Genomic DNA, 15,137 nt, shown 5'->3' with positions numbered 1-15,137 from the left:
ACCTTAAATTCATTGGCTATACCATTAAAATATTTTCATAGTAGCCTGATCTGATCATGGCAGATGGGAAGCAGGACTAGACTGCAGCTCCGACCTGGATGGACAGACAGCATCACAGAGGCTTGCATTGTGAATTTTAGCTCCAGAATGACTGCAAGAACAAACCAGCAATCCGGAGAGGACCCACAGAGCTAATGAAGGAAGCTGACTGCTCCTGCAGGACCTGGGAGACATCCCAAATACTGTGAGTGCCCCAACTGTGGAAGTGAGAATGGGACAGCCTCCTCTCCCGAACACACACCCCCACTGGAGAAACTGAAGGTCTGTTTGTGGGAGAAGTTTCTGACCTCACCTGGAGCTGAGTCAATTTAGAGAGCTGAGTGAAATACAGGGGTAGAAGAAGCAGCAGAAAGGCCCTGGGAGTTCACTGGGTGCCCAAGGACATTCCTGCCTGACACCACAGGAATCCACCAGGACGGTGTCTAGAGGAGCTGGGGGGAAAAACACCACAGGGAGAAGGAAATTTCCAGCTGAACTGTGTAACAATTTGAATGGGATGGGAAGCCTCCTGGCCAGAACTCAGCGGAGGGCACAAATCCCGTGTGCAGACTCCACAGGTGGGGGAAGAACCAAGCCCTTTTCTGGGAGACGGGTAGTCTGGGGCAAGTTCTCAAGCCTGGCTCGCCCAACACCTGGAAACAGACTCAGGGCTGTTGGGGGGGCACGGTGGGAGTCAGACCAGCCCTTCGGTTTGCATGGTAGCTGGATGAGGCCTGTGACTGCCGCCCTCCCCTACTTCCGTAACAACCTGCATGACTCAGCAGAGGCAGCTATAATCCTCCTAGGTACTCAACTTCATTGACCTGGGAACTTCACCCCCATCTCCAACAGCAGGTGCAGCAAGACCCACCCAAAGAGAGTCTGAGCTCAGACATGCCTAGCCCTGCCCCTACCTGATGGTCCTTCCCTACCCACTTTGGTAGCTGAAGACAAAGGGCATATAATCTTGGGAGTTCTAGGGCCCCGCCCACCACTGGTTCCTCTCCATACTACCACAGCTGATGCTCTCTGGAAAGTGCCACCTCCCAGCAGGAGGCCAACCCTCACAAAAATGGAACATGAAACCACCAAAGCTAAGAACCCTCACGGAGTCCATTGCACTCCCCCAATACCTCCACTGGAACAGATGCTGGTATCCACAGCTGAGGGACCCATAGATGATTTACATCATAGGACTCTGTGCAGACAGCCCCCAGTACCACCCCGGAGCTGGGTAGACTTGCTGAGGGGCTAGACCCAGAAGAGAGACAACAATCACTGCAGCTTGGCTCACAGGAAGCCACGTCCATAGAAAAAGGGGGAGAGTACTACATCTAGGAACACCCCATGGAATAAAAGAATCTCAACAACAGCCTTCAGCCCTAGACCTTCCCTCTGACAGAGCTGGTTTTCTGGTTCCCTCTCTAACCAAATGAGAAGGAACCAGAAAACCAACTCAGGTAATATGACAAAACAAGGCTCTTTGACAACCCCCAAAAATCACACTACTTTACCAGCAATGGATCCAAACCAAAAAGAAATCCCTGAAATCATTTTTACCTTAACAAGAATTCAGGAGGTTAGTTATTAAGCTAATCAGGGAGGTACCAGAGAAAGGCAAACCCAATGCAAGGAAATCCAAAGAACAATACAAGAAACGAAGGGAGAAATATTAAAGGAAATAGCTTAAAGAGAAAACAATAAAAAATTCAGGAAACTTGGGACACACTTATAGAAATGCAAAATGCTCTGGAAATTCTCAGCAGTAGAATTGAACAAGGAGAAGAAAGAAATTCAGAGCTCAAAGACAAGGTCTTTAAATTAACCCAATACAACAAAGACAATGAAAAAAGAATAAGAAAAAAGAACAAAGCCTCCAAGAAGTCTAGGATTATTTTAAATGACCAAACCTAAGAATAATTGGTGTTTCTGAGGAAGAAGAGAATTCTAAAAGCTTGGAAAACATATTTGGGGGAATAATTGAGGAAAACTTCCCCAGCCTTGCTAGAGAACTAGACATGCAAATACAAGAAGCACAAAGAACACCCAGGAAATTCACTGCAAAAAGATCATCACCTAGGCACATTGTCATCAGGTTATCCAAAGTTAAGATGAAGGAAAGAATCTTAAGAGCTGTGAGACAGAAGTACCAGGTAACCTATAAAGGAAAACCTATCAGATTAACAGCAGATTTATCAGCAGAAACCCTACAAACTAGCAGAGATTGGGGCCGTATCTTCAGCCTTCTCAAACAAAACAATTATTAGCCAAGAATTTTGTATCTAGCAAAACTAAGCCTCATATATGAAGGAAAGATACAGTCTTTTTCAGTCAAAAATGCTGGAAGAATTTGCCATTAGCCACCACTGCAAGACCTGCTAAAAGGAACTCTAAATCTTGAAATGAATCCTGGAAATACATCAAAACAAAACCTCTCTAAAGCATAAATCACACAGGATCTATAACACAAAAATACAAGTTAAAAAGCAAAAACAAAACAAAAAACAAAATACACAGGCAGCAAATAGCACAATGAATGCAACTGTACCTCACATCTCAATACTAACATTGAATGTAAATGGCCTAAATGCTCCACTTAGAAGATACAGAACCGCAGAATGGATAAGAACTTACCAATCAACTATTTGCTGCCTTCAGGAGACTTACCTAACACATAAGGACTCACACAAATTTAAAGTAAAGGGGCAGAAAAGGCATTTCATGCAAATGGACACCAACAGTGAGCAGGGGTAGCTATTCTTATATCAGACAAAAGAAACTTTAAAGCAACAGCAGTTAAAAAAAGACGAAGAGGGACATTATATAACGACAAAAGGCCTTGTCCAACAGGAAAATATCACATATATGCACCTAAAACTGGAGCTCCCAAATTTATAAAACAATTACTAATAGATCTAAGAAATGAGATAGACAGCAACACAATAATAGTAGGGGACTTCAATACTCCACTGACAGCATTAGACAGGTCATCAAGACAGAAAGTCAACAAAGAAACTGGATTTAAACTATACCTTGGAACAAATGGACTTAGCAGATATATACGGAACATTTCAACCAACAACCCCAGAATACACATTCTATTCAACAGCTCATGGAACTTTCTCCAAGATAGACCATAAGATAGGCCATAAAATGAGGCTTGATACATTTAAGAAAACTGAAATTTTATCAAGCATTCTCTCAGATCACACTGGAATAAAACTGGAAATTAATTCCAAAAGGAAGCTTCAAAACCATGAAAATACATGGAAATTAAATAACCTGCTCCTGAATGAGCATTGGATCTAAAATGAAATCAAGATAGGAATTTAAAAATTCTTCGAACTGAATGACAGTAATGACACAATCAATCAAAACCTCTGGGCTACAGCAAAGGCAGTGCTAAGAGGAAAGTTCATAGCCCTAAACACCTACATCAAAAAGACTGACAGAGCACAAACTGACATTCTAAGGTCACACCTCAAGGAACTAGAGAAACAAGAAAAAAACAAACCCAAACTCAGCAGAAGAAAGGACATAACCAAGATCAGAGCAGAACTAAATGAAATTGAAACAAAAAAAATACAAAAGATAAACAAAACAAAAAGCTGGTTCTTTGAAAGATAAATAAAATTGATAGATAATTAACAAGATTAACCCAGAAAAGAGAGGAAATCCAAATAACCTCATTAAGAAATGAAACAGGAGATATTAAACTCACACCAGTGAATGATCTTTTGTAGATCATTCAAGGCTACTATGAACACCTTTATGTACATAAACTAGAAAACCTAGAAGAGATGGATAAATTCCTGGAAAAATACAACCCTCCTAGCTTAAATCAGCAAGAATTAGATATCCTGAACAGACCAATAATGAGCAGTGAGATTGAAATGGTAATTAAAAAAATTATCAACAAAAAAAAGCCCAGGACCAGAAGGACTCAGCAGAATTCTACCGATATTCAAAGAATTGGTACCAATCCTTTTGACACTATTCCTCAAGACAGAGAAAGTAGGAACCCTCCCCAATTCATTCTATGAAGCCAGCATCACCCTAATACCAAAACCAGGAAAGGACATAACCAAAAAAAGAACACTACAGACCGATATCCTTGATGAACATAGATGCTAAAATGCTTAACAAAATACCAGCTCACTGAATCCAACAACATTTTGAAAAGATAACCCACCATGATGAAGTAGGTTTCATATGAGGGATGCAGGGATAGTTTAACATATGCAAGTCAATAAATGTCATACACCACATAAGCATAATTAAAAACAAAAATCACATGATCATCTCAATAGATGCAGAAAAAGCATTCAACAAAATCCAGCATCACTTTATGATTAAAACTCTCAGCAAAATCGGCATACAAGGGACATACCTCAATGTAATAAAAGCCATTTATGACAAACTCACAGCCAACATAATACTGAATGGGGAAGAGTTGAAAGCATTCCCTCTGAGAGCTGGAACAAGACAAGGATGCCCACTCTCACCACTCCTCTTCAACATAGTACTCGAAGTCATAGCCAGAGCAATCAGACAAGAAAAGGAAATAAAGGGCATCCAAATAGGTAAAGAGGGAGTCAAACTGTCACCGTTTGCTGACGATATGATCAATTACCTTGAAAACCCTAAAGGCTCCTCCAGAAAGCTCCTAGAACCGATAAAATAATTCAGCAAATTAACGTATACAAATCAGTAGCTTTTCTATACACTAACAGCGACCAACTGGAGAATCAAATCAAGAACTCAGCCCCTTTTACAATAGCTGAAAAATAAATAAAATACTTAGGAATATACCTAATGAAGGAGCTGAAAGACCTCTACAAGGAAAACTACAAAACACTGCTGAAAGAAATCATAGATGACACAAACAAATGGAAACACATCCCATACCATGGATGGGTGGAATCAATATTGTGAAAATGACCATACTGCCAAAAGCAATCTACAAATTCAGTGCAATCCCCATCAAAATACCACCATCATTCTTCACAGAATTAGAAAAAAAAAAACTCTGTTTTTTTGTTTTTGAGACAGTCTCGCTCTGTCACCCAGGCTGGAGTGCAGTGGCACAATCTCGGCTCACTGCAAGCTCCACCTCCCGGGTTCACACCATTCTCCTGCCTCAGCCTCCCGAGTAGCTGGGATTACAGGCGCGTGCCACCACGCCTGGCTAATTTTTTGTATTTTTAGTAGAGACAGGATTTCACTATGCTAGCCAAGATGGTCTCAATCTCCTGACCTCATGACCAGTCCGCCTCGGCTTCCCAAAGTGCTGGGATTACAGGTGTGAGCCACCGCGCCCAGCCAGAAAAAAACAATTCTAAAATTCATATGGAACCAAAAATGAGCCTGCATAGCCAATGCAAGATTAAGCAAAAAGAACAAATCTGGAAGCATCACACGGCCTGATTTCAAACTATACTATAAGGCCATAGTCACCAAAACAGTGTGGTACTGGTATAAAAATAGGCACATAGACTAATGGAACAGAATAGAGAACACGGAAATAAACCCAAATACTTCCAGCCAACTGATCTTCGACAAAGCAAACAAAAACATAAAGTAGGGAAAGGACACCCTTTTCAATAAATGGTGATGGGATAATTGGCTAGCCACATGTAGGAGAATGAAACTGAATCCTCATCTCTTACCTTGTACAAAAATCAACTCAAGATGGATTAAGGTCTTAAATCTAAGACCTGAAACTATAAAAATTCTAGAAGATAACATTGTAAAAACCCTTCTAGACGTTGGTTTAGGCAAGGATGTCACAACCAAGAACCCAAAAGCAAATGCAATAAAAACAAAGATAAATAGTTGGGACTTAATTAAACTAAAGAGCTTTTCCATGGCAAAAGGAACAGTCAGAAGAGTAAACAGACAACCCACAGGGTGGGAGAAAATATTCACGATCTACACATCTGACAAAGGACTAATATCCAGAATCTACAAAGAACTCAAATCAGTAAGAAAACAAAACAAAACAAAACAATGCCATCAAAAAGTGGACTAAGGACATGAATAGACAATTCTCAAAAGAAGATATACAAATGGCCAACAGATAAATGAAAAAATGCTCAACATCACCAATGATCAGGGAAATGCAAATCCAAACCACAGTGCAACACTACTTTACTCCTGCAAGAACGGCCATAAAAAAAAAAAAAAAGATGTTGGCATGGATGCGATGATCAGGGAACACTTCTACACTGCTAGTGGGAATGTAAACTAATACAGCTGCTATGGAAAACAGCATGGAGATTCCTTAAAGAACTAAAGGTAGAACTACCATTTGATCCAGCAATCCCACTACTGGGTATCTATCTACCCAAAGGAAAAGAAGTCATTATATGAAAAAGATACTTGCACACTCATGTTTATAGCAGCACAATTCATAAGTGCAAATCGTGAAACCAACTCAAATGCCCATCAATCAACAAGTGGATAAATAAACTGTGAGATATGTGTGTATATATATACACACACGATGGAATACTACTCAGCCATAAAAAGGAATTAATTAACAGCATTTGCAGCAACCTGGATGATACTGGAGACTATTATTCTAAGTGAAGCAACTCAGGAATGGAAAACCAAACATTGTATCTTCTCACTGATATGTGGGAGCTAAGCTGTGAAGACACAAAGACGTAAGAATGATACAATGGGCTGGGCGTGGTGGCTCACACCTGTAATCCCAGCACTTTGGGAGGCTGAGGCAGGCGGATCACGAGGTCAAGAGATCGAGGTCATCCTGGCCAACATGGTGAAACCACATCTCTACTAAAAATACAAAAATTAGTTAGGCATGGTGGCACGCGCCTGTAGTCCCAGCTACTCGGGAGGCTGAGGCAGGAGAATTGCTTGAACCCGGGGGGCAGAGGTTGCAGTGAGCCGAGATTGAGCCACTGCACTCCAACCTGGGCGGCTGAATGAGACTCCATCTCAAAAAAAAAAAAATGATACAATGGACTGTGAGGACTTGGGGGGAAGAGTGGGAGGGGGGCAAGGGATAGAAGACTACAAATGTGGTGCAGTGTATACTGCTCAGGTGATGGGTGCACCAAAATCTCACAAATCACCACTGAAGAACTTACTCATGTAACGAAATACCACCTGTACCCCAATAACTTATGGAAAAAAAAGTAGGTACACTCCTAATGGTGGTTGCCAGGGGCTAGGGGGGAGGGGGAAGGGGGAGTTATAGTTTAATGGGTATAGAGTTTCAGTTTTGCAAGATGAAAAAGTTCTGGAGATCTGTTGTACAACAGTGTGAATATACATAACACTACTGAACTGTATACTTAAAATGGTTAAGACGGTAAGATTTCTTATGTATTATTTTACCACAATTAAAAAATTTTAAATTAAAAATTTTTTCATAGTATATATTCTATTTTATATTCTGCTTTTCATCTCTACTTAAACCCTCTCTCTTTTTTTCCATAAGCCAAAATTTTTATTTGCTTATTTTTTTTGTATCTGAAGTACTCGTCAATGACATCCTTGGCCTGAGATTCTTTGCCATAGTCCTTAACTACTACACAATTGCAACCAATGACTTTATAGGGTTTTCCCTCTCTGAGGCCTATCTCTTCCCCTAGTTTCTTACGGTCATCAACCTTACTTAGGTAGATTTGGTGTTCAGCACAAAGGGCCACCACCAACATGACATACACAGGCTCATCACAGACCAAAGCTGGATGCAAACATGTAAAGGTGGGCTTGGAACTTGTCTAAGGCTTTGGCAGCTTTGCAAATTCCACATGTTAAGCCATCATGGATGAGGGCAGTCTTCAGCATGTTTTGTAAAACAGTGTTCATGTCCATAATGCCACAAGGCCAACTCTGGGAAAGGGTGGTAAATTTTCAGAAGACTCAGGCTATCTCAGTGAATGCTGTCTTTCCATGGGTCCCTATTACTCTTTTACTATAATGAAGGTCTATTCCAGTGGTTCTCGAAGTGTGCTCTCCAGACCAATTGTATCGGCATCACCTGGGTGTACTTCTTAGCACTGCAATCCTTAGTCCCTATCTCAGACCCCCTGAATCAGAAACTCTGGGAGTGGAACAATCAGTCTCCAGGTGATTTTGAGGCACACTAAAGCTTGAAAACCACTAGTCTATCCTGTTTAAACAGAAATCCGATCTCCCAAGTATGCAAAAATATGACAAATACATAAAATCAAAATTCAGTTATTCAGAGGAAGAGTAACTATTCATAGAGTAAATTTTGTGCCCCAATTGCACCGCTAGATATATTTTATAAAGAATGTAATACTAATTTTTAATATGCAGGGCAAAAAAAGCTAGGCAAGAGTAGTAGAGGGGCACAAATACCACAAAAGAAGAGATCATTCCCCAATAATTTCTCTTTTATGTACACTTGTACCTATATAACATATGTGTGTATGTATATATAGATATATAATTATATTTCACATTATATTTGTAATTGTATTTTGGTATTAGAATTACTTTCTTATTTAAGCCAGGCGTCAGCAAACTTTTGCCGTAAAGGGCAAGACAGTATTTTAGGCTTTGTAGGCCATAAGTCTCTGTCACAACTATTCAATTCTGCTGTTGCAGCACAAACGCAGCCATTGACAATATGTAAACAAATGAGAGTGGCTTTTATTTCAACAGTACTTTATAAAACTTGGTGGTGGGCTGGATTTGGCTGATTGGTCTTAGTTTGCTGACCTCTGACTTAAGCTGTCACTAAAACACATTTCAATTACTTAAGTTTTCTGAGTGACTGTGGGCAGTGTGTGCATAATCAGAAACTAAATGTTGCATAAACAATTCACAGTGGAGGCCGGGCATGGTTGCTCATGCCTGTAATCCCAGCACTTTGGGAGGCTGAGGTGGGTGGATCACTTGAGGTCAGGAGTTCGAGACCAGCCTGGACAACATGGTGAAACCCTGTCTCTACCAAAAAGTACAAAAATTAGCCAGGCATGATGGCACATGCCTGTAGTCCTAGCTACTCAGGAGGCTGAGGTGGGAGAATTGCTTGAACCCAGGAGGTGGAGTTGCAGTGAGCCAAGATCGTGCCACTCTACTCCAGCCTGGGTGACAGAGTCAGACACTGTCAAAACAAACAAACAAACAAACAAAAAACCCAAAAAACAAAAACAAAAAACAATTCATATTGGAGATCTTGCTTTATATGAAGAAAATTATGTAATGTGCAAAAATGTGTTGGTCAATAACAGGCTGCATATAAAATACACAACGGTGGTTCCACAAGATTATAATACTGGGGTTGAAAATTCCTATTGCCCAGTGATGTCATAGCTACCCTAACATTGTGGCACAACACATAACTCATGCATCTGTGGTGATGCTGGTGGAAACAAAGCAGCGCTGCCAGTCTTATAAAACTATAGCACATACAATTATGTAGAGCACATAATACTTGCTGATAAATGACTATGTTACTGGTTTATGTGTTTACTATACTATATTTTTTATCATAACAGCCTCAGGCAGGGCCTTTTGGAGGTATTCTAGAAGAAGATATCATTACCATAAGAGACGACAGCTCCATGCATGTTATTGCCCCTAAACACCTTCTGGTGGTACAAGATATAGAGGTGGAAGACGTTGATATTGACAATTCTGACCCTGTGAAAGCTTAGGCTAACGTATGTGTTTGAGTCCTAGTTTTAACGAAAAAGTTTTAAAGTTAAAACAGTTAAAAAAAACTGCAAATAGAGGAAATGCTTAAAGAATAAAGGTATAAGAAAAATATTTTTGTACAGTGTATAATATTTGTGTTTTAAGTGTTATTGCAGAAGAGCTAAAAAGTTTTAAAATTTAAATTTAATTTAAAGTTTATAAAGTAAAAAAGTTACAGTAAGCTAAGGTTAATTTATTATTGAAGAAAAAAATGCTTTCTATACACTTAGTATAGCCTAACGTACAGTGTTTATAAAGTCCACAGTAGTGGACAGTAATGTCCTCGGCCTTCAAATTCACTCACCACTCACTGACTTGCCTAGAGCAACTTCCAGTTCTACAACTCCATTTATGGTTAAGTGCCCTATATAGATGTACCATTTAAAAAATCTTTTATATCATATTTTTACCAAACTTTTCTATGTTTTGAGACACAAATATTTACCAGTGCATTATGAATGCCTACAGAGTAACTTGCTGTAAAGGTCTGTAGCCTAGGAGCAGCGGGCTATACCATATAGTTGAGGTGTGTAGTAGGCTATACCACCTAGGTTTGTGAGAGTATACTCTACAATGTTTGCAAAATGACACCTAATGACATTTCTCAGAATGTATCCCTGTCAATAAGCAGCATGTGACTAATATTGAAGTGATAAAATAATTTCAATAATTTCATTGCTTTAGTCTTTTAAACTACCCCCTCCTCCACTTTTATTTTTGTAATCTATCTCAGGTATGTTTATTCTAGTCTTAAATCTTTCTTGTTTTTACTTCCTTGGATATTTATAAATTAAACTAAATTTGGCCTAAAGGATGCCTCCATACTCGAGTCCTTATGTAACTAACTGGAACCTAATTTAGTAGGTAAAGTAACTGAAAGCCTAATATAAGGATATACTTATGTGACAACCAGCTGAGTCTCAGCCTATCACAGTAGCTGAGCTTCAGTCAATCACAGATGGCCAACTGATCATTCCATGTCCAAATGAGTCAAATGCTGAGCTGCAAACAATCAGGCTGTTTCTGTACCTCACTTCCATTTTCTGTCCATAAATGCTGCCTGCCCATATTGTGGAATGAAGCTCTCTGACCCCCTTCTGGTTTTGAGGGGTGCTTGATATGTGAATTATTCTTAGCTCAATTGAAGTATGCTAAATTTGACTAATTTTGTTTTTTAACAGTACATCAAAAAATCTATTTTCTCTAATTTGACTCGGGTATAGAGCATTTCTTTAAAAAACAAAAAGTTGTTTTAGAAATAACTCTAAATGAGAGGTATGAGGCACAAAATATTTCCTATTTTCCTGCTTCCTAAATATTCTCTACCCAGTCTCCCCTTTCCCTTCTCACCCCATAACAGAAAACAAACTAAAAGTCTAAATTTTAAAACATGAGTACAGGACCTGATTAAAACTGCTTCAAAGACTTCTACTGGGGAGAATAAAAGTTTATTGGTGCCTCCAATGCAAGCTACTCAATAACTGCTTAGTTGTGAACAATGACCTACTGCTTCAACTCAGTAGATGATGATTAGGGCTTCTTACAGCATTTGTTAAAAGAGATTTAACAAATCTCACTTTACTTCAATCTACTTCCTCCAATTCTGTGACCCTACTTAAGATTCCCACTCCCCCTCCAGTAGAGTTAATTAAAATACTATGACTGCCTCTTTTGGTTTATTGCCTGTCGTTATAGAGCACTTTTCTCTGACAGAAATGGCCACTTTCCCAAGCAAGATGACATTTAGAGCTTCTTTCTCTGCATCACAGTCTTAGAAACACATTTCTCCCCTTAATCTGGTTTTGCTTTTTCCTCTTCACTACATTTCTTCTGGCAAAGGTTGTCTGTGTGTGTTGCGGGGGAGGAGTGGGAGCAGGGTGGGGATAGAAAGGAGATAAAAGAAAATAAATTCTTAGTTGTAAAGACAGCAATGAGAAAGCTAAACTAGATTATGATCTTGACGATTCCTTACAGTTCTAACATTTTATGACTTAATTTAAATAGGAAAAAGAGGAAATAAAATGGCACTGAGAAGATAAATAAAATGTAAACTTGAAGAGTGAGAACAGAAGTCAGGATAAAGCTCAATTAACCAGAAGCAACTGGCACTTTCCTTCTGGGGAAGTGGCAGAGGGAGAAAAATAAAGAGAATTTCTCCACCTCCCAGCCCATTTCTGGACTATATTGGGGGGAAGAAGATGTTTAGAACAATTTCCTATATCATCTGCAGCTATCCAGAGAACATTCTGTAACTAAAACAGTCAAATAGTAGCTTTGACCAGATTTGTTCAAAATTGTCTAATCTTATAATGGGAGTACTGTTTGAAAATATATTATGGCTTTAAAAACTGTCAGGTTATTACTTAACACTTAGGAAAAGCTCAGATTAAATATATACAACTTAGAGTGATATGGTTTGGCTCTGTGTCCCCACCTGAATCTCATTTTGAATTGTAATCCTCACATCTCAAGGGAGGGACCTGGTGGGAGGTAACTGAATCATAGGGGTGGATTCCCCCATGCTGTTCTTGTAATAGTGAGTGAGTTCTCATGAGATCTGATGGTTTAAAAGTGTCTGACAGTTCCCCCTTGCTCGCCCACTCTCTCTCTCTTGCTGCCATGTAAAACATGCCTTGCTTCGCCTTTGCCTTCTGCTATGATTGTTTCCTGAGGCCTCCCCCAGCCATGTGGAACTGTAAGTCAATTAAACCTTTTTTCTTTATTAATTACCTAGTCTCAGGTAGTTCTTTATAGCAGTGTGAAAATGGACTAATACACACAGGTTTAAAAAACTCATAAAAAATGCTACTGAGATCTAAAATATTTTCCTTGAAACATCACCTTCCTTTTCATATTTTATATAAAAAGGCAAAACCTCTGGATAAATGACATTCCACTCAGAATGTTCCAACCCATAGCACGAGGTGTCAAAAGTAAAAGTTTTTCACTGTTGATATGTTCTATAATCATACATGAAAATTATACTGAGTTATCTTTATTTTCATTACTTCAGCATATAATTTGATAATCAAAGATAATCAAACACATGTCCATAAATATTAAATTGTTAAACATTCAAAATGGCTAACTTAATTTAACTAAAATTTTCAGTTAAAGTCCCCTTTTACCAGTTGTCAATCAGTTAAAACATACAATTTTATTATAACAAAGCCAATTATACCGAAAGCCTTAACATTCTTCGTTTGGGATCCAAAGAGCCATACCTAACTCAGGCAATAAACACCAAAAAAACCAAACCAAACCAAAACAAAACAAAGCAAAATCCTGCCTCTCCAATACTCCTGGATAATCTTGTAATAGATTGAGTGATCTGGCTGTGAAAGTCAGTTCAAGTTTACATCATTCCATACATAAGGTACCATAAACCATTTCTGATCACTAGGGATCCACATGAAGAACACTTCTCATTTTTACATTTGTGAAATTAAAAATCTTAAATGGGCAAAGAGGTTTTCAGTGAATGTACTGCTTTAATTATGATTTTATTTATTTTACACCTCTTTCTTCTGGGCTATTTCCTAGTAGACAAGAGGAAATGAGATAGCTATCATATAAGCCACATTAACTGGGAAAACTATGATAAAATTATCAGTTTCAGTTAATATCAAAATAGGGCAGCAAAAGACAATTATTGAAAAGCAAAAGTTTTATAGAGTTTAATGTACTGACCTCATAAATATCAGAATAATAAATGACATCTCTACTCCCTCCACAAATTATTAGAGAAGTTTGTCTTCAACTGCTAAAATTACACTTGGTGAATCTGTTCTATCACATTAGTGTTCAACACCACTGTTAATCTTTGTCCTTTTAAGTTATCATAGCAATGCATTTAGTAGCTGCACAATCTTCCCAATCTCAGCAGTACGTGTATAATATGAACACTAATCAAGATCATTCAGCAGGTCAGCAGATTAAGATTAGCATCAGTTTCCATCTCTTGGGCTCCAAAGCACAAATTTCTCTCCATTCACCTACAGATCTATCACATATGTTCTCAACATAGTCCCATATCCAAGTAAATACATTATGAAGTGTAATGTCTACTTTATCTAAATTAAATAGATAAAAATGACAGCTCTACCTTATTTGATAATTCATTCTTAATTTGCTTTTAAAAATTTAACTACTACTAAATGGAATAACTATATCTATAAATATACAAATAAAATAATGATACTTTACATCACTACATACTACTTTTATTTTCTGCACACGGTGCCAGTTTTGCTCCATTTTAAATACACAGGATAATTTAAAGAATTGCACTAAGAATAATTTAGCTTCTTTTAATCCTTTAAAAAAATTGAAGGGGCCCGGCGTGGTGGCTCACGCCTGTAATCCCAGCACTTTGGAAGGGTGAGGTGGGTGGATCATGAGGTCAGGAGATTGAGACCATCCTGGCTAACGTGGTGAAACCCCATCTCTACTAAAAACACAAAAAATTAGCTGGGTGTGGTGGCGGATGCCTGTAGTACCAACTACTCGGGAGGCTGAGGCAGGAGAATGGTGTGAACCCTGGAGGAGGAGCTTGCAGTGAGCTGAGATGGCACCACTGCACTCCAGCCTGGGTGACAGAGTGAGACTCTGTCTCAAAAACAAAACAAAACCAAAAACAATTGAAGGTAGTAAAGAAAGAGGTTTTCATAGAAAAACAAGCTACAGCACTTTTGTTTACATTGTAACCAGTTCAGTTATACTTATTCAATAACTCCCTTTATGTTTTTTCACCACATAATGGATAATATTCTTTAGTTGTTCTGTGATAAGAAAACATTTCCTTTCATACATTATCTCAATATTTCCTAGTTCAGAAACTCAACTATATTATCTTTCAGAAGGTTAGTAAGATACTAATCCCTTTTCCTGTTTTACTATCAAATCATCCTAAATTTTACTCTATTAGAAATGATACTAAAAAAGCTACAACAATGTATTCAATTACAGAACAAAGTATATAATTTTTTTTAAGGATGACTGCATTTGACCCTAGGTTAATAACTCAACCAACAATATTTTACATAAATATCTTTTATATAACATACATCACACTAAATTTGAAGATAAATTAATTTGAAATACTACCCATGTTTTTTACTGGTTTGTTTTACATAAAATAAACTAAATATATAAATTATATAAAAATAAACTACAACTTTATTTTGTATTGTTCTATATCCATTCATAATTTGTCCCACATTTTTTCTTTATAAAATGTCAATAAAAAGATTAAGCATACATGCACAAAGATCATAGCTAATGCCAGATGTTAAGATAGTCTCTTGAGGCTGAAGATTCCACACCAGGTGGTTGAGCCAGCCTAATGAAGCAGCACATGCTCATGTGGGATACAAAGGGTGGACTTGGAAGAACCT

The 15,137-nt window shown here is 38.3% G+C and overlaps 1 protein-coding gene and 1 pseudogene across 4 annotated transcripts in view, besides 1 other annotated feature; both read right to left on the bottom strand.

Annotated features, from left to right (window-relative positions):
• RSRC1 (arginine and serine rich coiled-coil 1) overlaps positions 1 to 15,137 on the bottom strand; it is a 435,642-nt gene that overhangs the window by 41,272 nt on the left and 379,233 nt on the right. The window lies entirely within an intron of this gene.
• Positions 374 to 873: an enhancer, noted in NCBI's record as "H3K27ac hESC enhancer chr3:158221375-158221874 (GRCh37/hg19 assembly coordinates)". NCBI's record gives its function as "activates a minimal SCP1, AML or CMV promoter by ChIP-STARR-seq in naive H9 embryonic stem cells {active_cell/tissue: H9 hESC(naive)}" and the evidence as "EXISTENCE:reporter gene assay evidence [ECO:0000049][PMID:30033119]".
• RPS12P7 (ribosomal protein S12 pseudogene 7) lies at positions 7,530 to 7,893 on the bottom strand (annotated as a pseudogene).

This window comes from Homo sapiens, chromosome 3 (genome assembly GCF_000001405.40).
Source record: "Homo sapiens chromosome 3, GRCh38.p14 Primary Assembly".
Classification (NCBI taxonomy): domain Eukaryota; kingdom Metazoa; phylum Chordata; class Mammalia; order Primates; family Hominidae; genus Homo; species Homo sapiens.
This window is presented reverse-complemented; position numbering and strand designations above follow the sequence as displayed.